Raw genomic sequence first — 20,334 nt, 5'->3', positions numbered from 1 at the left:
CCTTTCACTGCCATAGCACTGCCCTGCTCCTTCTCCCCTTCCCCCGGCTCCACCTCTCTATCTCCTACCCAAGGCCTAGCCCAGAACCCACCATCTCCAGCCAGAACCTCTGTCTGCCTCATGGCCTGGCCTCCCCGCCTCCAGGATTCCACTTACCAAAGCCACTGTTTTTGCTGTTTTGCGTTTTATTTTTCTGCCATAAGAGGAATACACATTCACTACAGAAAAATCACAGGCTACAGAGAAGCAACAAGAAGAAAGTAAGAAAACACTCATAATCCCACCCACACAAAGACAACTACTGCGAATACCTCGGGGTAGATTTTTCTAGAGCTGTATGTGTGTGAGCGTCTCTGCAGATATTTATAAAAGAGCACACACTCACTGCCCCGGTTCAGGCCTGTTGTCCTATAAGCTGAGTTTTCCTGTCACTCTAGACTGCAAAATCTCAGTGTCCTGAGTTGTTTTAGCCTCTGCAAGGGATGCTGGGGAGCCTGAAGTGAAACCCCCAGACACTGGGGTCAGACGGGCCTATGGTCAAAAACACTTTGTAGTACATGACCTTGCGTATTGGTTTGCTGGGGCATGCTATAGCAACATACCGCAGATGGGCGGCTTGAACAAAAGAAATTAATTTTCTTACAGTTCTGGAGGCTGGAAATCCAAGACCGAGATGTCAGCCAGGATGGTTTCTATTGAGGTCTGTCTTGGCTTGTAGATGGCCACCTTCTTACTGTGTCCTTATATGGTCTTTCCTTTGTGTGTCTGTATCCTGATCTCTTCTTTAGGGACACTAGTCATATTGGATCAGGGCCCACCCTAATGACCTCATTTCAATGTACTCACCTCTTTCCAGGCCCTATCTCCAAACAACCCGCATTTCCTCAAAAATGCGGACTTCAACATGTCTTTTGGGGGAACAAAGACTTTTGGGGAACAAAGTCTTTGGAGGAACACAGGTCAGACCATGATGCCTTGCCCAGCTCACTCCAAACATGCTGAGCCTCAGTGTCTTCGTCGATGAAATGGGGTGAGTGGTCATATTCATGTAAGAGGAGTGTTAGGATGACCAAATCAGGTCGTCCTGATAATTCACTTGCCTGGCCCCTGGCCCCCGGAGCAAGTGCCCCAATGTCACTCCCTGCTCTTCTTGCTCCCCTGCAGGTGGATCAGAGGGGGCCATGGACCTCCTGGTACCTCTTCACCCCTTTGCTCACCAGTTTGGTTATTCCCTCCAGGTAAGTTCCTAGAGGAGAGTTGCTGGATGGAAGGTGGAGATGCCAGCCTGAGCCCTGAAAGTGCACCTGCCCACCCCCATCGGGGTGGGTAGATGGATGTGCCCCCAGCCCCATCCTCAGGCCTCCCATGGCTCCTCCCCATCTGACTGCCTGCCCCACCTTACTGTCAGAGGCTTCTGTCCCCAAAGGCTCAGCAGAGTTGCAAGCTGGTGCCTAAAGCTCTTCTCAAGCTGGCTGGGCCCCTTTCTGCCTCTCCCCTTCTTCATTGCCCTTGTCACCCTCCTGCTTTGTAGCCGCACTGAGGACTCCTTGCTTTCTGAACATGACATACACCTTCAGGCCTCCAGGGCTTTGCACTGGCAGTGCCCTCTGCCAGGGATGCCCTTCCTTCTATCTATGCCGTCCTGGGGAGCCACCTGTGCCTTCGAGGGGCAAATAAGACCCTTTCTATGAACTCTTTTAATGCCCCTCCTCTCTCTCCTTGCTCAAGGCTAAACCATCTGCTAAGGCCACACTGGACCTTGAAAAGATACTAATTGTGAGGGTGATGGCAACTGCGACACCAGCAATGGCTGTCTCCTCACTCTGTTCCCCACTGATCCCAGCATTCCTCAAGGGGCCTCAGCCATCCAGATGGTGCCAGGCACAAATCAACCTACAGGTGCAGACCTGCTCAGATTAGATGGATTGACAGGTGAGGGGGCCAGGGTAGGAACGGCATGAGAACAGAGTACGTATGTGTGTGTGTGTGGGTGGGGGGGTGGTGGTGTCATCAAACACTATGTGGCATGATTGCAATTAGGGAAAATATGTTTGAGAATGTGCTTGTTCTCATCTGAGAATATTACATATTGGATGGTCAATATGTGAAATAGAATCTGGAGAGAAACGCACCCAACAGTCACCAGGGGCTGTCCTGGTTGAGGGAGGAATGGGGATGATCAGGTGGTGGCTTGCAAACATTTTTGATCCCTCAGGAGAAATACGCTTCATTTCAACCACCTGGTACACACACATACACATGCTCACACATACACTCCCACATACACATATGCACACACACTCACTCACACGTGATAGGTATAACTGAAGCCAAAGTTGCAGAAACTCCAGCTACCCTAGGTGAAATGTACGCTGCTATTCTTACTGTGTTTATTTTATTTCATTCTTCCAATTATTGACTTGATTATTGACTTGATTCCAATTATTGACAGATTATTGACTTGATCTGATAAATTGATTTCATGCCCCGCTGCTGGGCCCTGATTTATAGTTTGAAAGCTCCTGCTCTGAGGGAGGGTTTGCATTTTCTGCTCTGTGTTCTTCTGTTTTTAAAATTTAATATGGAGGATGGATTCAACTATTGTCTTTGTAATTTTTCACTTAAAAATAAAGGGAGAGAGAGGGAGCAATGGGAAAATACAAAACAATAAAAGTCAAACAGGCTTCCTGAAGGCAGCTCAGCAAAATGCGGCAAAACAGATCTCTTTAAAGGTGTACATACTTCTCGTCGGAGCTGCTTCACTTTAAGACACGTTACTAGCTGGGGTAACCGGGTACAGAGCTGCGCTCATAGGCTGCTGACCCCGACTTTGTTTGTAATAATGAAACATCCCTAACATCTGGGATGCCCACACATGGACCCCTGCTGGTCATCCAATTGAGTGCGATGCGCGGCTATTCAAGACTTATTTATGGACACGGAAAGAAGGGTGCAGGAAAGAAGGGGCGCCCTGGGATTAAGAAGTTACTGGCAGGCTACAAAAGTATAACACCACCCTGCCCTTGTTTTCAAAATATGTATTTGCAAGTGTGAGGGAGAGGGACACAGAGAGACAAGTGTGGAGTGAGGGGGCTCCACACGCAGGAAGAGTTGGGTTGGTTTTAGTTCCTTCTCGGAGTTCTGTTGTATCGGCAATGAGCTTGCATTGCTTTCATAGGGGACATTTTCAAGGAAAAGAGAGAAAGAAGAAAGGAAAGGAAGAAACAGAAAAAGAAGGAGGGGAAAGTAAGAGAGAAAGAAAAGGAAAGATGAAGGGGAAGCAGGGAGGAAGGGAAGGAAGAAGAGAGAAATAAAAAAAGTGGGGGTGGTGGGACTTCCCTGGAGCTGCGACCAGAGCGAGTGCGGCCCGTGCGGGGAGTGGCTGGCGCTGCAGGTCCCGGCGCTGCGGCGCGAAAGCGCTTTTTGGAGTTTCGATCTGGGAAGCTCCAGGAAGCCCAGGGGGCGCAGGCTTTCCGGGTAGGAGAGGTCGCTTGGCGCGTCCAAGGGGACCCCCAAGCCACCGGTAGGGACGCGGAGCGGCTGGAGCGGTCTCTGCTGGGCCGGGAGGCTGACGCTGTCCCAGGCCACCCTCCGCGCCACCAAGCTCCAGTCCCGGCCAGCCGCGCGTGCGGGGAGGTCAGGGAGGACTCTCCCAGGCGCCGGGCCGCGTCCCTGCCGCGATCTCCTTTGCTTCCTGGCGGTTTCGGGATGAGAAGGAGCGTTCGCGGAGGTAGGTAGGGGTTGGTGGTAGTGGGGAGGAGATGCAGAAATTTCGTGGGTGCCAAAGTTTTCTTTAAAGTTATTTTTCAATTGAGATACTTTTAAAGGAAAAAAAAATCCACAAATTTAGGATGTCAGTTTCAAAAAGTTTTTACGGAGGAGCAGCGCGGGGGCTGGGCGCAGAATTAGGGACGCCGTTGGCTGAACGGGGGCGTCTCTTCCATCCTGCCTGCCGCGCCCCTCTGCACCCCTACCCAACCCTGCCATGTACACCCGCGCTCACATCCAAGCGCGCAAACCGACACTACTCACCCCCACCCCCGGCGACCCTGACAATCCTGGGTTCCCAGGCATTGTCCTGGCGCGCCAGGGAAGTTGCCGTGCCCAGTCCCCTCACCTGGATCCGTACACTCCCGCCTCAGCGGCTTTCACTGTGTCCCCCACCTTTCACTTAATGTTCAAGGTTTCGCTGGCACAGGGGCTGCGGGCTAAGCTAATCCCGCGTCCCCCGGGTCGCCCTCACTCCGGGCGCAACAGGCGAGACAGTGAGGGCGGGGATTGCGCGAGAGCGAGCCCCTGGCCGTGACTGCAAGAGGGGACCTGTGCCTAAGGCCCCGAATCCCCGCCCCAGCCCTGGAATCCACCATTCACCTCTCCCTGGTCTCTCTCTCTTCATCCCAGCGGCCTCCCACCTCTGCTTCCCAGCACGGAGCGGGTGGTGGGGTTTGACTGGAGCTTGGGGAAGCGGAGGAGGGACAGGAGGAGGGGGGTCCTGGGCAGGGGGCGCACCCAGCAGCACGCTGGCCCGGCAGTAGGAGCCGCAGCTGGAGTGAGGGCGCCCCTCTGCCAAGGCGCGCCTCCAGCGGACCTCAGCTGCCTGGAGCGGGTGGGCAAGAGGCAAGGTTGCAGGTGCCGGAAGGGGGCCAGGGAGGAGTCAGGTGCGCAGTGGTGCCTGCAGCGGTCGGGAGCCAGGCTGTACCGGGTCCAAAGCCCCTCTCGCCCTCCACCTCACCCAACCCCCTCCACACACCGCCGGATACTCAGTTAAGTTGGATCGGCGGCTGCAGGGGCAGCTGCATCTGTTCGGTCTGTGTGTGCGCGCGCGGGAGCAAGAGAGGGCCCCCTTGCCTCTCCCGCCGCTTTCCAGGATCCCGCGGCGCTCCGCTACCTCGCTCTTCTCCCGCAGCTAAGTTCCCCGTCCAGGTGGGTGCGTGCGGTTGTAGGAGCGCCCCGGGCACCGCCGCAGACCCTCTTCCTCCTCCATCCTCCTCCAGCGCCCCTGCCAGCCTAGGCTCCTTCCCGTCCCGCTTCCCAAGGTCACTATGGGGACGCGAGGGAGGGATTTGTGTTTAATTCCTGCCGCTATTCAGAGGGAAAAGAAAATAAAGGGACCAAAGGCAACCAGAAAGCAGTTTACCTCAAGCCTTTATTATTGTAGATTGAAAGAAGTTTATATACAGGAAATATTTCCAGCAAAACACTCACCAAATGGCCTTCGAATCAGGGGCCCTCCACCTCCCAGCCCCACAATCAGCAGCTCTGCCTAGGACTCCCCTCACTTGGGGACCTCAGGCTCTCCCCCCACCTCTCTTTCCCCGGACTCCATCACCCCAACGTCATTCCCCAGGAGTCTCAGCTTTTTCTCTCTCCCTGGGGCGCTGCGAACCTCGCCAATGCCTCTCAAGCTATCTTCCTCTGGTCCCAAAGCAGACACCCCAACTTCCCTCCCATTTAAGGTGGTTACCTCACGGAAACCCAGAGCACCCTCCCCCTCAAGGTTTAGGTGCTGCTTTGAGGCCCCTGCAATTCAGAACTAGCTCGTGGTCAAGACCAGTTAGAGATAGTTCGTCATCAGCAGTGGGGCTCCTGTGCACCCAAAACAAGCGGGGGAAACTACCCTGCCCACCCCTCCCCATCCACGACATCACTTCCCCTACCAGGGACAGGAAACAGACACAAAAGCAACAGGGAACCCCCTCTCCGCGCGCGACAGGTGGGTGCCAGGCAACTAGCTCAGCTGAGCTGAGAGTCTCCTGGAACCCAGCTGCGCTCAGGGCGCGCGGGCGTGGCCAAGGTCTCTGTGCAGCTGCGGGAAGCACCGGGCCAAAGCACTTGGCTGAGGGCACGCTGGGGAGGGGGTGTAAGAAAATGCTGTAGAGGCAAAGTCCTGGGGGCACACGGACAAGGGCAAGCCATATCCCGCGCTCAAAAGAGGATTTCCAGTGAGCCAGGCAGGTGTGAATGAGACAGTTACAGAAGCAGAGTCCCAGGGAGGTAGGGGAGATTGTTCATGTGGCTGAGGGTGCAGACTCAGTCTGAAATGGTGGCTCAGCACATCAGTGTCACTGGGGCCTCGCCAAGCGTGACTTGGTTTGAGGCGCTTGCACGTGGGCTTCGAAGGCTCGAAGGCCCAGCCCACCAAGTTCAGTCAATTGTCCGTTGGATGTTTACACCCTCCGGGGCCGAGCGCCGTGCAGTTGCTCATCATAGCGTTCCAACCAAGTGCGCAGCTCAGAGACCTGGTAGCCGTCGGGGCCACGGCCGCCCTGGTACATAATAGTGCCACTCTGGATGACATAGAGACGCTCGAAGTAGGCGCCATAGGCCGAGCTGCTGGAGTTGGCCATGGTGTCGAGGACCAGAGCGCAGCCGGGTGCACCTTGCTGCAGTACCCTCGCTGCGCTGACCCGGTCCTCCAGGCTCCGGTGCTGTGGGATGATGTAGGGAGAGTCCGTGGTGACCCAGCCGTCGGAGGGGTGCGCTTCCTCGATGTAGATGATGAGGAAGTCGACGTCGCGCTGGTACTTAGTGACCAGGCGCTGGAAGGCGCTCATGCGCGCCATGAACGGTGGTCAGGTGCAGCTGCCGAAATTGAGAACCAGCGGGCGGTTCCCTTGCGCGTAGTCGAGGATGTGCTGGCTCTGGAAGCCGTCGGGCAGAACCACCTCGGAGTTGGGCGCCGGACCGCCCTCGTGCGCCTGCTTGAAGAAATCCAACTTCTGGCCATGCCACACCGCCTTGAGCGACGCCAGGGTGCACAGGCGGTTGTCGTCGGACACGCAGATGGGCGGGTCATCGGGAGGCACCTCCTCGCCTTCACTGTTGAGCTCCACTTCGGGCTCGGGCTGCCCCCGGCGGCGGCGGCCCAGGAAATGCTTGCGGATACACAAGAAATCGAGAAGCCAGAGCATGAAGGCCGTGCCGAGGAAGCGCGGGAAGAGCACGAGGCACGAGGCGGTCTGGGCGCAGAGCCTCAAGGAGTGAAGCAGCAGGGAGCGGAGCATGGTGGCTGCAGGCCCCGAAGCCCCCTGGGACCCCTCGCCCTCTCCGACCACCAACCGCGACGTGGCCTGGCGAGGCATCTGGGCTTCAGCAGTGCAGGGAGTTCAATTTATAGCGGAGGCTTCAATTGGCGGGAGACTCCACCTCCGGCCCGGCCCGCCCCCTTGCAACTTGAGCCCGGAGGGATCACCCAGCAGCGCGGCCAATGCCCTAGAAATCTTGGGCTGAGGGCGGGCGCAGGCGGGCGGAGGGCGGAGCGGCCGGGCCTGGGGCCGGTGGGGGCGGGCCCGGGCCCCGCAGCCAGCTCTCGGGGGCGGGGGACTCCGGCAGCCGCTGCCGCTGGGGACCGGGAGCCCGACCAGGGACCTGGGCGTCCGCTGGGGAGGTCCTCCAGCTGGCGCGAGCGCTGCGCGCCGCCCTGGTCCCCGCCGCCTGGCTCCGGCCCGCGCCCCCCTCGCCGCGCACCTGAGCCGAGCTCCCCGGCGGCCGCCGAGCCGCGCCGGAGCTCCGGTTCGCTTCCCGCGCGCCGCCGCCAACGCCGCCCACGCCGCTGCCGCTCGTGCGGGGCCGCTGCCCAGGTGCCGCGGGAGGCCGGGTCCGCGGCCGCCGCTTCGGTGGCCCCGGCTCCCGCCCCACCGAGGACGCGGGCCAGCGAGGAGGCAACTTTGCGTTCCCGCCGCCTTCCTGGCTCGCCCGCGGGCGCCGCTCGCCTGCCGGAGCCCGCCCGCCCGCCTCCCGCGCGCGCTCACACTCGCGCCTCGCACACGGCCGCCCCCCGCACCGCCCCGCCACGCACACCGCGCTCCGCGCCCCCCGCCGCTGCCCGAGGCTGCCGCGCGCCGCCCCAGCCCGCGCCGCCCTGGCCGCGCCCGCCCCGTCCCATCTCGTTCCAGCGGGGCGCCGCGGTTCCTGGGTCAGCGGCCGCCGGGGCCGGGCTGAGAGGTGCGGAGGGCAGAGCCCGCGGGCGGGTTACCGCCGGGCGCCGGAGACCGGAGAGCTGGGGAAAGCGGCGCCGGCCCTGCGCCCCCAGCCGACCCGGGCGCGGGGCGCCACGGGCGTGGGGCGCGGGGCAGCGGGCGCGGGGCGGCGCCGGCCCCGGGCGGCTCTCCCACTAGGGGTAGCTGTTGCCTGAACGCCGGAGCGCTCCCCTCTCGCCGCTTGCCTCGCCCAGCGCAGCCCCGGCCGCTGGGCGCACCCGTCCCGTTCGTCCCCGGACGTTGCTCTCTACCCCGGGAACGTCGAGACTGGAGCGCCCGAACTGAGCCACCTTCGCGGACCCCGAGAGCGGCGGCGCGACTCACCGCGGAGGCGCCCGGACGCGTCAAGTGCGTACTTTCAACCGTAAATGGGTGCTGAGCGTTTAGGGGTGCGGGGCAACTCCCTAACTCGTGGGGCCCTGGCCGGCCCTGCCGCGGCGTCCGAGACCTTCTGATCCCTCGCTGCGCGCGGCGCGGGGTTGGCGACTTGGGCTCAGGGGCGGCGGGGCGGGGAGGTGCCTTGACCTAGGGACCCAGAGGCCGGGAGCAAGTCTCCTTTCGCCTTGGACTGCAGTGTCCCCCAGGGCAAGGCCTGAACCAGGTCGCGAGGGTCTGTCTCCCGTCTGGGGAGCTGAACTGCCCGAGACACTGTCGCAGTCGCGGGGACTTGTCTGGAGCGGCGGGGTCTGAGCCCAAGTCGGAAGCCGCCGCCGCCGCCAGCGTCCCGTGCGCCTGCCGCCCCGGGACCAGCCGCGAAACTTCTTCTCGGGACGGAGACAGCGCTCGCCGCCCGGGCCGAGGTAGGAGCTGGCTGGGCTCGGTAGAGCGCGGGCGAATCGCTTTCGGCAGCGAAGGAACGTGTCGGGAGAAGCCAACTGCAGGACCAGGGCCCCAGCGGGCGCGCAGAGACGCCTGCCTTGGGCGGAGGTCCCCCCCTCCGGTTTTCGTGGCTCTGGTAGGGCCCTCTGTCCCGTGAGCTCCTCACTGGACCTGAGGCTACAGGCTTCAGCAGGTCAAGCGCCCGAGTGTGCCTGGAGGATTGGCGGCGGGGTGGCATGAGAAGGTGGCCCCTCTTCTCCATCTCCCAGTCAGGCGATTTCTCTGCTGTCTGGGGCAGGGGCGCACACCCCAGGAACTTACTACGTAGAGGGAAGCCAGCCTGGTCTCTCCCCCTTGCGTCAGTGCTCCTAAGCTGCCCCTCACCACTCTGGGTAGGGGTCTTTCAGGTGGGCTAGGGAATTCTCCTTGGAAGTCCCCTTGTTTGCTCCCCTCCATCAGGGCACCTCTGAGTTAGCCAATCATCCTCTTTTCTGGCCTCTTTTTTGCGGGGAGGAGAGTAGAGAGAGAAGCCTCCTACTCGGCAGGTCTCTGAGAGGAGGTTTGGGGGGGCTTCTGAGGTTGCTCCTCCTGGGCAGAGTCAAGGGGTGTTGAGGGTTCCAACTTTTACTGGACAATCTCTCAAGCTCTGATTCCCTGATTTCTGGGAGGTGTCAGTGTAGGGCTTGTGTCCTGCCCCACCCACACAGCATTTGGTGCAGGCACATGGGATGGTTCCCCAAGCCCTTTTCCCACAGTTAGTTTCAGAAAATGCATAAGCCACCTAAGGCTGGGAGAGCCTTTCTGTGCTGGCTGAGATCTGGTGGCATGTGCATGCATATGTGTGCAAGTGTGTGTGTGTGTGTGCAAGTGTGTGTGCGCATGTGCATGTGTGTGGAAAGTATGGTCTGGGTGGCTGTAAGACTGGCCCCTCTTGTCCCCTCTGCAGGCCCAGCCCAATAGGAAGCACCTGATCCACACTCTTTCTAGCCCCAGGGATGCTCAGGAAAGCAGCCTTTCTTTAGGGCTGTCATCTGTTCTGGGGATCTGTTGCTGTTTCTTGGGCCCACAGAATACACTCCACACCTCGGGACTCCATAATATTGGACAAGGCTGGAAGGCCCATTTGGCTCCTGCAGCCTCTTATGCAGGTGAGGACAGACCCAAGGTCCAGGCAATGCTGGCCTTTGGAACACAGAACCTGGCTCACTGACTCCCACTCCAGTTGTCTTTTCCCTCTGCCTCTGGAGCAACCCTCTCTCCTCCAGAGCAACCCCTGTCCCTCCTTCCTACCTCTCTCTAGGGCTGCACCCCCAGCTCACCTTAGACCTGGCCCTTCCTACCTGTTGCCCCTACTGTCTTGTCCCATCCCAGTGGTCAGGAGGGAGAGTACTGGCCAAAGGCCCAGCTCCACCTGTGACTTAGGGGAGTGCCAGGCATCACCCAGAGGTCCCGGCCCTCGGGGGCCTGGCAGGCTCTGCTGTGGGGGAAGCAGAGTTAGAACTGGGGCTGCTTCTCCTGTCCCCCAGCCTGGCTGGGCCTCCCCCACCTCCCTTTCTGCCTGCCCTCTTACAACTCCAGCAGGGGGCGGGCAGGGGAAAGAAAAGGAGGGACAAGTTGGATGGGGTCCATTTGGTGTCCAGGAACAACTTGGAGAGAGGCGGGGAGGGGACAGGCAGCAGGGCCCTGGCAGAGCCAGGGGAGGGCTGGCCTTTGGATGGCCTTCTGATCCCAAGCCCATCCTCCTGGGGCAGTCTTCCCTTGAAAGGGAGGGTTTGGTGAACCCTGGTGCGGACCCCCCCGCCGGACCTCACTGCCCCAGTGCGGGGCGTGGTAGGCGGGTTTGCAATGGGTACAGCCTCTCTCTCCATTCCAGTAGAGCAGCTCCCAGGGCCCAGAGAGGCTGTCACTGAGACTTCCCTCTGGGGTGGGGTGGGTTCTGGTGGCCCTGTGTTCCCCTGCAGGAGGACCTCCTGAGGCTTCGGGCAGGAGCTGGTGCACACCTGGAGGAGAGTGCTGGTGAATGGCAGGTGTGTGCCTCAGTGTCCTTGCTGCCAGGGTGTCAGCCCTGCTTCACCACTGGCCGTTTGTCTCTGTCCCCTCCACTGGCCTCTTGAAGCACAGAGACCCTCCGGGTACTTTCCTTCCTCTGGGCTTCCACTCATGCTATTCCCTGCTCCCTTTTTCTACCTGGAGACCCCCATTCCTCCTCCTCCTCTGCTGCCCTCACCTCCACCTGGGCCCTCCCAGCTCCCGGGAGATGGCTGAACCCCACTCCCCACCCGCTAGTCATCCTCTTCAGCGGTCCTCCCAGAGCTGTCCTCAGCATGGCAGCCTCCACAGCCCCTGGGTGTCACCCCCGGTTTCGTGTCTGCCTCGGACTCCAGACCTGCCCCTCCCAGGCTGGCCCAGATGGATCCTCTACAGTGACTAACCCAAACCAGCACCAGGCAGGGACCCAATAAACCTTTGTGAATGGAGTAAATGAGTGCGGTGTGTACTTACTGAAAACTCCTTGTTTGGGGAGAAACTCAGGGTATTTCACTCTGTCCTTTTGCGCACCTGCAGCAGTGAGCTGGGGCGGCATGTTGGCAGCCAGGGCTGAGCACGGTGGGTCAGGACCTGCCGCTGTGAGCAGACAACACTTCCTGGGAAGTCCCCTTGGGGCGTGGTGTCTGGTGAATGCACCCATCACCTGGTCACTGGGCCAATCCGTTTCCCTTTCTGGGCTAAACAGGTCTTCCCACGGGTACCTGGGCCCTCCCACGGAGGTATTTACCCTTCTCATTTACTTTAAGAATGAATTCTTCTATCCAAACACTTGGCTAGGTTGATCATGGGGACACCCTGCAGGGGATGGGGTGGGAGATGGCTGAGGGACCCAGAGCTCTGGTCTGAGCGGTGTCCTCAACATGGCAGACCTCCATCCCTCTGGGAGTTTGAGGCAGGCACAGGGGAGGTGGCGGGACTCTGGGGTGACTGGGCAGGCTGGGATCCCAGCCAGGACAGCTTGTCAGGGCCCCAGGGCCTGGATCTAGCAGAGGTGTTTGGCAGCATTTGGGGGTTGGAGAAGGTCTGGGGCTCCCGGCCAAGGAGAGGAGAAGGCCTAGGAGGCAGTGCCCTGGCTACTTGCTGTGTGACCCTGTGCATCTCTGGCCCCTTCCTCAGGTCTCGTCTGCATCAGGAGTGGGTTGGGTGGTGACTTTCCAGTGCCTTCCCCATGGGTCATTCTGCACGCCAGAAGGTCCTAGGAAGTTCTAGGAGACGCTATTCTGGCCCTACCTGCTGTTCTGCGGCTGCTGAGAGCCCCACTTGAGGACGAAGGTGCCCCAGTGCTGGTCCTACCTGGCCTCATGCTCTGCCACTTCCACCCAGTACCGCCTTCGCCTGCCCGCTTCCTGCCGCAGCTCAGGGCCCTCCAGCCCGGCCTGGGCTCTGACTTGTTCCTGGCATGAGTGCTACTGTGCTCCCTGGTGCTCAGCCAGACCCCAGGGCACAGGATGATGCCTTGCCAGAGGTTGCCTGTGGGTGCCTGGGTCCTGCCTGGAGCTGGGTGGGGCACTGGGATGCTGGGCTACTTGTGCCAAGACAGATCTTGCTCTGAGCCGGGCCCTGAGGCTGGCTGGAGGGCCACCTTGCGAGTCAGTCCCTCCTTTCCATCTGTGATCCTCTCTGGAAAAAGGTGGGGTTCAACCGACCAGCAGATAGGCATCCCAGGTCCATGTGCTTCTCTGAGCCTCAGTTTCTTCACTGGAGAGGCGGGCCTAATGTTTGAATGTGTTGTGTTCACCATGACATGAGGGGCAAGTGTAAAGTCTATATGTGTGCCTGTGTGAGTTCGTGTGTGTGTGTATGTGTACGTGTGTATATGTGTGTGTGTATGTGTGTGTATGTGTGTATGTGTATGTGTGTGTATGTGTATGTGTGTATGTGTATGTGTGTGTATGTGTGTATGTGTGTATGTGTGTGTACGTGTGTGTACGTGTGTATGTGTGTATGTGTATGTATGTGTGTGTATGTGTGTGTATGTGTGTGTATGTGTATGTGTGTGTGTGTGTGTGTGTGTGTGTGTGTGTGTCTGTTTACTTAAACCCAGCCTTGTTCCAGAGTGGATTTCAGGATTCCTCTAAGAAGCTTTGGAATGCCAGAAGATACCACAAGTGAGAAGAAAAAATAAAACAAGAGGAAGGATATACTTCCCATAAGGGGACAAAGTACAGCCGCAGTGTCCTCCGCTTGGGCCATGGAACAGCTGCAGGTTTTGCCCTGATTACCCTGGTGGTAAAGTCTGATTGGCTATGATTCCCGGTGTCCAGAAGATAAACACGGGCGGTGCAGCGGAGCCACACGCATGCCTGTGCATGGCCACGCCAGGTCGGAAACCCAGCCCCTCTGCTTGGGAGGCACGCAGGGCTCTGGCTGAAGCCTGAAGCTTGGGATCCTCAGAGCACAGATGTCCCAGGGTTGTGTGAAGTTAGTGAGACGAGGTGTACGGAGAGAGCTCGGAGAGGAGAGGGAGTCTCGATTGCTGTGGCTGTGGCTCGGAGATGCCTGCAAGAGGTGACGGTGATGTGCGTGGTGGTGTGTTCACTGATGATGCTACACTGCAGGCCCAGGGCTGTGTTGTGGTGGCAGGTGTCCTCCTGGACCGTTTGACCTTTAGGGAGGCCTCCTCCACTCAAGCACTGGTCCTGGAGGGGCTCTGGGCACACAAGGAGTCAGGCATGTTTTTGCCCCCGAGGAGCCCCCCAGCCTGGCAGGGCCCAGGGGCAGGGCAGGGTGGGGCGGGGTGGGATGGGGGTGCTCCAGGAGGTAGCAGGGACACTTGGTAAGTGGGGCCAAATTGGGAGGCATCTCAGGAGGTGGCCATGGGCAGAGGGACAGCCTTCCAGTTCTTTGCCTCTCCCCTTTGAAGCCCGGCGCCTGGCAACAGACCTGTGGTAGCTGCACCTGCCTGGGTAGGAGACTGTGGGCTCTTTTCTCGTAGGGGGACAAGAGTCATTTGCAGGACCTTCTGAGCAGGTGGGGGACAGCGAAGGACAAGAGGAGGCTGTGCCTGTGCGGCTGTGTCCCGGCACAGGTGCCGCTTCATGCCCACGCCACCACATCCTCACTGGGTGGCTTCGGGCAAGTTACCTGAACTCTGCGCCTCCATCTCGTCTTCTGTAAAATGGGTGGCACATCCGAGCCCACCTCCTAGGGAGGGTGTTGTGAGGACAGGTGGGGGCACGTCCGCACAGCCCCTAGAATAGTGCCCAGGGCACCAGAGTGCTCTGTAGGGAAATAGTAGTGGCTGGCACTGAGCCCCCAACATAAGCCAGCACCGTGGGCCAGAGCCACGACTCCTGCTTCTGGGCACTTCACAAGCTATGGCCAGGGGCCACCACCTTTGGCCACTCCTTTCCCACAGAATTCCTACCAGGGCCCTGCCAGGTCAACAAGTCACAGGGCTTCCCCATCACAGAAGCCCAGCTCTGTGACACCTCTTGGTCCCAAGCACGTTCCTATCCCCCATTCATGTGTTTTGTTAGGACCCTTTAGGGTTGCACATGGCAGAAACTTAATCCACACCAACTTCAGCGAAGAAGGAATGTACTGGCTCCAGTCAGTGAAAAGTCCAGGAGGAGCCATGCCTTCAGGCACGGCTGCATCCAGGCACTCAACAGGTGTATCCAGGCACTCAACAGGTGCAGCCAACACCTTGCCCCGCAGGCTGTCAGCTCCTGCCTTCTGCTGCGTCCACGTCACTGTAGGTGGATTTCTCTGCACATGGGTGAGATGGCCCCAGAAGCTCTGGCTCATGGAGTCCTTGTAGCACCTGTCCTGGCCATCCCCAGATGAGAAAGCATCATTTCCCATGGCAGAAATCTGGTGGAAACAGGAGGGAGGGGGTCGGCTCTCTTTGGTCGGATCTGGGTCTCGTGCCCATCTCTGGGAGAGAAAAGTCCCCATTCACAGAAACTGAGCAGATCCTGGATTGGATGGGGAAGGAGAGATGCTGGCAGATACACACACATTCACTGCACTCCCTGCAAGGATAGTGACAATAGTAGAAGCTGCTCTTTCTTGAGAAGTTATGACGTGTGCCAGAAAATTCTACCTTTTAAGGATATAGAGAGGCTTTTATCATCCCCATTTTACAGATGACAAAACTGAGGCTCAGAGAGGTGAAGTGATTTGCCTATGGATGCATAGCTAAGGTCTGACCCCACAACTCACACTCACAAGTTAGCAAGAGGTGTTTCACCAGGGTAGTCTGGGGGCAGAAGGAGCCTGCCTGGTGAGGGAAGGGAGGTGGAGAGGTGGGGAGAGGGGAGGCCAAGAGGAGGGGACACCAGGACCTGGCCTCTGGCTTGCACAATGGGGAGGGAACCCTGGAGAAGAGGAGGTTTATGGGGGAGGCTGCTGAGTTTTTTGGGCACATATGCTAAGTTGGAGGTGCCCATGGTCCTCAGGAGATGTTCGGGATTTGGGGGTCAGAGGCATGAGCCTCGGCATCCTGGGAATCATGGCTGTTTGCTTTGCTTTGGGAATTTCACAGTGGTGGGGGGAAGGCGGCTGCTGACAGGAAGCACTTCCCATTTGGTGGAGAAGGCAGCCAGAACCTGCATGGCAGAAGCTGCGGCCTGGGCCTGTGACAGTGTCTACAACTGTGGCCACAGGTTCAAGGCCCTTGTAGTTGGCAGACACAGGGCCTGAAGTTCTCTGGCCGTTGTTTTAGGGCAAACACCTTGAGAATGGCATTTCCAAGGCCCTTGGGCTGTGCCAGGGCACCAACGCCAGTCGAGGACCACGCCTTTCTGAGGGATGCTTGGAATCTCACAGACAGGGGTTCACATTCCGACTCTGCTTCCTAGAGGCTATGTGGCCTTGGGCGTGTCTGGAACCTCTCTGGGCCACAGTTTGCTTATCTGTGAAAGAGTCATGGTAGCCTCTCCTTATGGGTTTATGGGGAGCTTCGGATATGGAGGGTGGGGCAGCACACAGGGCTCAAGCTGCAGCTCTTAGTTACCTGCTTTTCCTTTGCAGGTGTCCTACGGGCCTGATGGAAAGGTGGCAGGCGAAATGCACCTGGCCTCAGCGTCAGGGGCTGTGAATGCAGTAGCACTTGTAGCTATGAGGTCAGAGTGGACTAGGATGGTCCTTCCACCAAGAAGCCTGGGCCTTCCTGCTCTTCGTTGTCCAGCTGCAGAAACTGATCTCATCCCTCAGGGCTTGGCACAACTGCCCCTTCCTCCTCACATTCCCAAATATACCTACCCCTCCCCAACTCAATCCTCCTCACCAGACTGTGGCTCCAGGATGACAGGGCAGAGTTGGACTCACCTGTGTCTGCCAGGCCAGCTCACCGTGGGGGCAGGTCCCAAGAGGCCTCTGGATTTGGACCAACTTCCAGTGTGACCTTGAACAAGGCCTTCGCCTCCCTCAGCCTCCGTTGCATGAGGGGTTGTGCTGGCACATCTCAGAGCAGGTAGCGCTACCTGGTGAGTTGAGGGCTCTGTCCATCATCTTTGTCACTGTAATGCTGGGTAACAAATAAACACGAAACAATGAGTGCTCGTTTCTCAGGTGCCGGGGGATTTAGTGGGTCCAGGGGTCAGCGAGGGCAGGCTCCCTGGCGGACCCGGCTGGGGTGGTGGCCGCTCTGCTCTGCTCCACGCCTCTGATCTGCAGACTCGCCCAGGCCTGATCTCACCGCAATGGCAGAGGCACATGAAGAAAGCAGCCCCCATACATGAGCGGCAGGGAGCCGCCTGTGCTGTGTCTGCTCACCCCGCATGGGCTCACGGCAGTCATGGGGGAGCACTCACATGGGAGCAGAGGGCCCGGTGAGGCTGCTCAGCCAAGGGTCTGGTGCAGGGAGAAGTGAAGATTAGGGCTCTTTGCAATCTGTCACAGGGAGTGAGCCAGGGCGTCACCCTGGGACTTCTGATGGTGATCATGTGCTCGTCACCCACCATCCGGGTGCTCCAGCTGGACCAGACCTAGGCCTGTCTTGAGGGAAAGACAGATCCTTGCCACGTCACTTACCACAACCGCAGCCAAGGCTGGTGGACTCCATAGCCGTAGGAAGGCAGCTTCAGGGACAGGGTGGGAGGCTAGAGGTCTCTTGTGTTCCGAAGGGCACAGACGTATGGGACAAACCAGGGAATGACCCAGCATCCCTCTTGGCCATGGTCCTGCCAGGAGACTTGGGTGCTGTCCTGCCCCCCTGGGCCTCTGTGGCCTCATCTGTACCATAGAGGCTGGACTTGGGATTTGAAAGGTACCACCCAGGGCTGTGGTTCAGTCTCTTTGTAGAGAGACAGAGTAAGGGTGAGAGTGAGCCATGGAGAGAAAGAGGGGACAGGCCTAGTCTCTGCCTCTAATTATTTGCCTCTTCCTCTTCTGCAAGCCCCCCTCAGTGGAGGTGGGGGGTGGAGCGTGCAGGGATTGAGGGTTGGGGGATGGGTATGTGATGTGAACCCTTTTCCATGATTCTAATGGCCTCACCCTAAGAGCCTGGGAGCTGGTCTGCAGGGTAATTCTGTGGGCAGAAGGGTTGGGGTGGGAGTAGGGGGTCCCTTGGAAGCAGGGCTCTGTAGCCTTGTCTCCCTTCCCTTCCTAGGGGGTGGCTGTTCCTGGGAGGGGCGGGTGGTTTTATTTGGGACAGGAGCCTGTTGCAGTTAAGCAGTTCAAGATGCTGGAGATGGAGTTACCCGGATGACTGTGGAAAATCCATGCTGAGTTATTTTTCAGGAGCACAGTGATGGGGGCACAGACTACTCTGCCTGGCAGGCAGAAGTAGCAGGGATGTTTTCAAACTTTAATTAAGTCCCTACTGTGTGCCAGATATTAAGCTTAGTGTGTTTTCACATGTTAATCCTGCAGTAGGGATCTCTGTGCCCTTTGCAGAGCTGTGGAATGAAGGCTCTTTGAGGGGAGCATGTGTCCAAAGTCCAACCAGGAGGTGGAGAGGTAGAATAGCATGTCTACCCACCCACCCTTCAGGCCATTCCTCCACCCATCCACTTACCCACCCACCCACCAGTTCATCCATCCGCCCATGCACCCACACACCCACCAGTCCATCCATCCATCCATCCATCCATCCGTCCATCCATCCATCCATCCATCTATCCACCCACCCACCAACCTGTCCATGCATCCATCCATCCATCCATCCATCCATCCATCCATCCATCCATCCATTTGTCTTTGCATCCACCTGTCCATCCATCCATCCATCCATCCATCCATCCATCCATCCATCCATCTATTCATCCATCTTTGCATCCACCCACCGGTCCATCCATCCATCCATTCATCCATCCATTTGTCTTTGCATCCACCTGTCCATTCATCCAACCATCCATCCATCCATCCATCCATCCATCCATCCATCCATCCATCCATCTTTGCATCCACCCACCAGTACATCCATCCATCCATTCATCCATCCATTTGTCTTTGCGTCCACCTGTCCATCCATCCATCCATCCATCCATCCATCCATCCATCCATCCATCTTTGCATCCACCCACCGGTCCATCCATCCATCCATTTGGCATCTGCAGCACTTTCACTTTTCTGATGACCCAGACTAGAGCCTATTCTGTGGGCTATTGGTCTGGGAGGTGAGTGCTGGAATGACTGGCTGGCTTGGATGCTGGCCCCAGAGCACTGACTGAGGGTCCGGGAGGAGGTGGGGCTGTAACCCATAGAAGACTGTGTGGCTGTCCTTATAAACCCGTGCACAGCCTGGTCCTGATTCTCTCCCCTGTGGCCAGCAGCACAGGATGATGATACTGGGGGCTTCTGCAGGGACTTGCTTCCTACAGGTAGTTTTATGACCCGTACAGCAATCACTCTGCTGGAGTTTCAGTGTGATGCATTTGGGGATGTAGAGGGTTCTGTGGGTTCGCACTGGGGGTGGGGTGGGGGGCGGCAGAATAGCCTCATGACCACCTGCAGTGGGGCTCCCTGAGGCCACCATGGACATCCTGGCCCTGGGTCCCCTGGTGTCCTCGGTGGCTGGGCCGGAGTGCTGTGAGCCAAGCTGGAGCAGCGTGTGGGACCCTAGCACGGGCACGGACCCAGTCTCTAGTGACAACCTCCCTCGCCTCACAAACCAAATCTCTCCCACGGTGCTGTCGCCTCAGGTCCTCTAGTGATTCCTGTTGCCCTGGAGATAAAATCCCGGCATCTCAGGGTGGCCAGGAGCTTTCTCAGGGAGACCTGCTGGGAGGCCAGGAGCATGGAAGTCCCTCAGGAGGGAAGGGACGTGGCGCATTTGAGGGAGAATCTCTTGGAGAGCCCTGGAGAACTTACCCTGAAGGACGAGGAGGCTGCCGCTTGCTGGGACATGTCCCACGTGGATGGGAAAGGCTGCAGTCCCAGGGTCTGGGCACCACGCTTAGGCAGATGGGGCCTGTGTCATCCCCCAGGCAGGTGCCGGGCGCTCGGGGCTGTCCCCGGAGATGCAGTCTTGGGGGCGATGGACTCGCTGTGCCTGAGCTCCAGCTCTGTCCGTTCCTTTCGGAACATGGAGGCCGGGAGTCCCTCCTCGGGGACGCTGTGGGGGTCTGGGGAGTGGGTCCTGAGTAGGTTGGCCTTGATGGGCCTTCCAGGCCTGTGGGATCCACGGGTTCACAATTTTGGAACATAGGTTCTAGGAGACCCAGGAACTGCTTCCCGAGAACCGAGGCCTCCTGGGGGTCCCTACTGGGGGTGAGTACAGTGGGGACCTGGAGGAGCTGAGGGCAGCCTGGGGGAAGGGACTGGAACCCTGAGAGGGATTAGTCCAGCTGCAGGAAGCTGTGGTCAGGAGATGCAAGCACTGGGTGGAGAGGCCAGGACAGGTGGGGTGCTGCCCAGGCCCCAGGCTGGAGCGCATTTTGAAAGAGGAAGGGCAGGGAGGCATCTGGGCAAGTGTAAGGGGAGTGCACTGGGAGAGAGGGCCTGAAGGAAGGATGATGGTGTATGCGGACACCAAGCCACCACCTCCCCTCCCCCATCCTTTCCTCCCCTCCCTTCCCTCTCTTCTCTTTCTCTCCCTGCTTCTTCCTTCTTTCTTCCCTTTCCTCCCCCCGCCTCCTCTTCCCTCTCCAGCTCCTTCCTTGCCTTTTCCTCCCTTCCCTTCCCTCCGCCCTCCCCCGTCTCTTCCTCCCTTCCCTCTTCCCCTTCTATCTCATCCACTTGTGCCCCTTCCCACCTGCCCCTCCCAGCCTCTTTCCTTCCTTCCCCACGTGGCAAGCAGCCCCTGCACCCACCAGCCCGTGCTCCCCAGGGCCTGGCTCCGCACGCATTAGGAGATGCTCACAGAGAGGGCTGGGCTCCTTACAGCAAGAGACTTCTGCGACCGCGACCATTGGAGCCCAGCTGTCATGGGGAGGGTGGCAGTCTGGTGGAGACCACGGACCCTCCCCTGGACACCTCCACCAGGCAGGCTCAGTGACTGCCCTGCTACTGGGAGCCACAAAGCCTGTTGCCAGGAACCAGGCAGGGATAGCAAGTGGGGTCTTCTGAGGCCAGGGCGGGTGGTCCTGGGTTGGGGGGC

General features: G+C 58.9%; 1 protein-coding gene, 2 long non-coding RNA genes and 1 other non-coding gene across 9 annotated transcripts, besides 1 other annotated feature; 3 read left to right on the top strand and 1 right to left on the bottom strand.

Annotated features, from left to right (window-relative positions):
• Positions 1-734: 734 nt before the first annotated feature.
• On the top strand, positions 735-1,791 carry LOC105370675 (uncharacterized). Its single transcript, XR_944225.3, has 3 exons — positions 735-1,030; positions 1,165-1,238; positions 1,729-1,791. It is a non-coding gene; the product is annotated as an uncharacterized LOC105370675 (long non-coding RNA).
• Positions 1,792-5,126: 3,335 nt separating this feature from the next.
• Positions 5,127-7,084, bottom strand: DIO3 (iodothyronine deiodinase 3). The gene has a single exon (NM_001362.4). The coding sequence runs from the start codon at positions 7,080-7,082 to the stop codon at positions 6,168-6,170; it is 915 nt and encodes a 304-aa protein (NP_001353.4). The 5' UTR covers positions 7,083-7,084; the 3' UTR covers positions 5,127-6,167.
• Positions 7,085-8,156: 1,072 nt separating this feature from the next.
• On the top strand, positions 8,157-8,292 carry MIR1247 (microRNA 1247). Its single transcript, NR_031649.1, has one exon. It is a non-coding gene; the product is annotated as a microRNA 1247 (primary transcript).
• On the top strand, positions 8,157-16,358 carry DIO3OS (DIO3 opposite strand upstream RNA). Of its 6 annotated transcripts, none has more exons than NR_152589.1 (4): positions 8,157-8,327; positions 9,745-9,946; positions 10,760-10,930; positions 11,085-11,280. It is a non-coding gene; the product is annotated as a DIO3 opposite strand upstream RNA (long non-coding RNA). The 6 variants fall into 6 exon arrangements; NR_152593.1 differs by adding an exon at positions 8,554-8,779 and having other exon boundaries at positions 10,760-11,280; NR_152591.1 differs by having other exon boundaries at positions 10,760-11,280.
• Positions 15,151-16,350: an enhancer, noted in NCBI's record as "CDK7 strongly-dependent group 2 enhancer chr14:102018566-102019765 (GRCh37/hg19 assembly coordinates)". NCBI's record gives its function as "activates an origin of replication core promoter dependent on BRD2, BRD4, P300/CBP, MED14 and CDK7 cofactors, with strong dependence on CDK7, by STARR-seq in HCT116 cells {active_cell/tissue: HCT116}" and the evidence as "EXISTENCE:reporter gene assay evidence [ECO:0000049][PMID:35650434]".

This window comes from Homo sapiens, chromosome 14 (genome assembly GCF_000001405.40).
Source record: "Homo sapiens chromosome 14, GRCh38.p14 Primary Assembly".
NCBI lineage: Eukaryota > Metazoa > Chordata > Mammalia > Primates > Hominidae > Homo > Homo sapiens.
The sequence above is the reverse complement of the archived record's forward strand: the minus strand, read 5'-3'. Positions and strand labels throughout refer to the sequence as shown.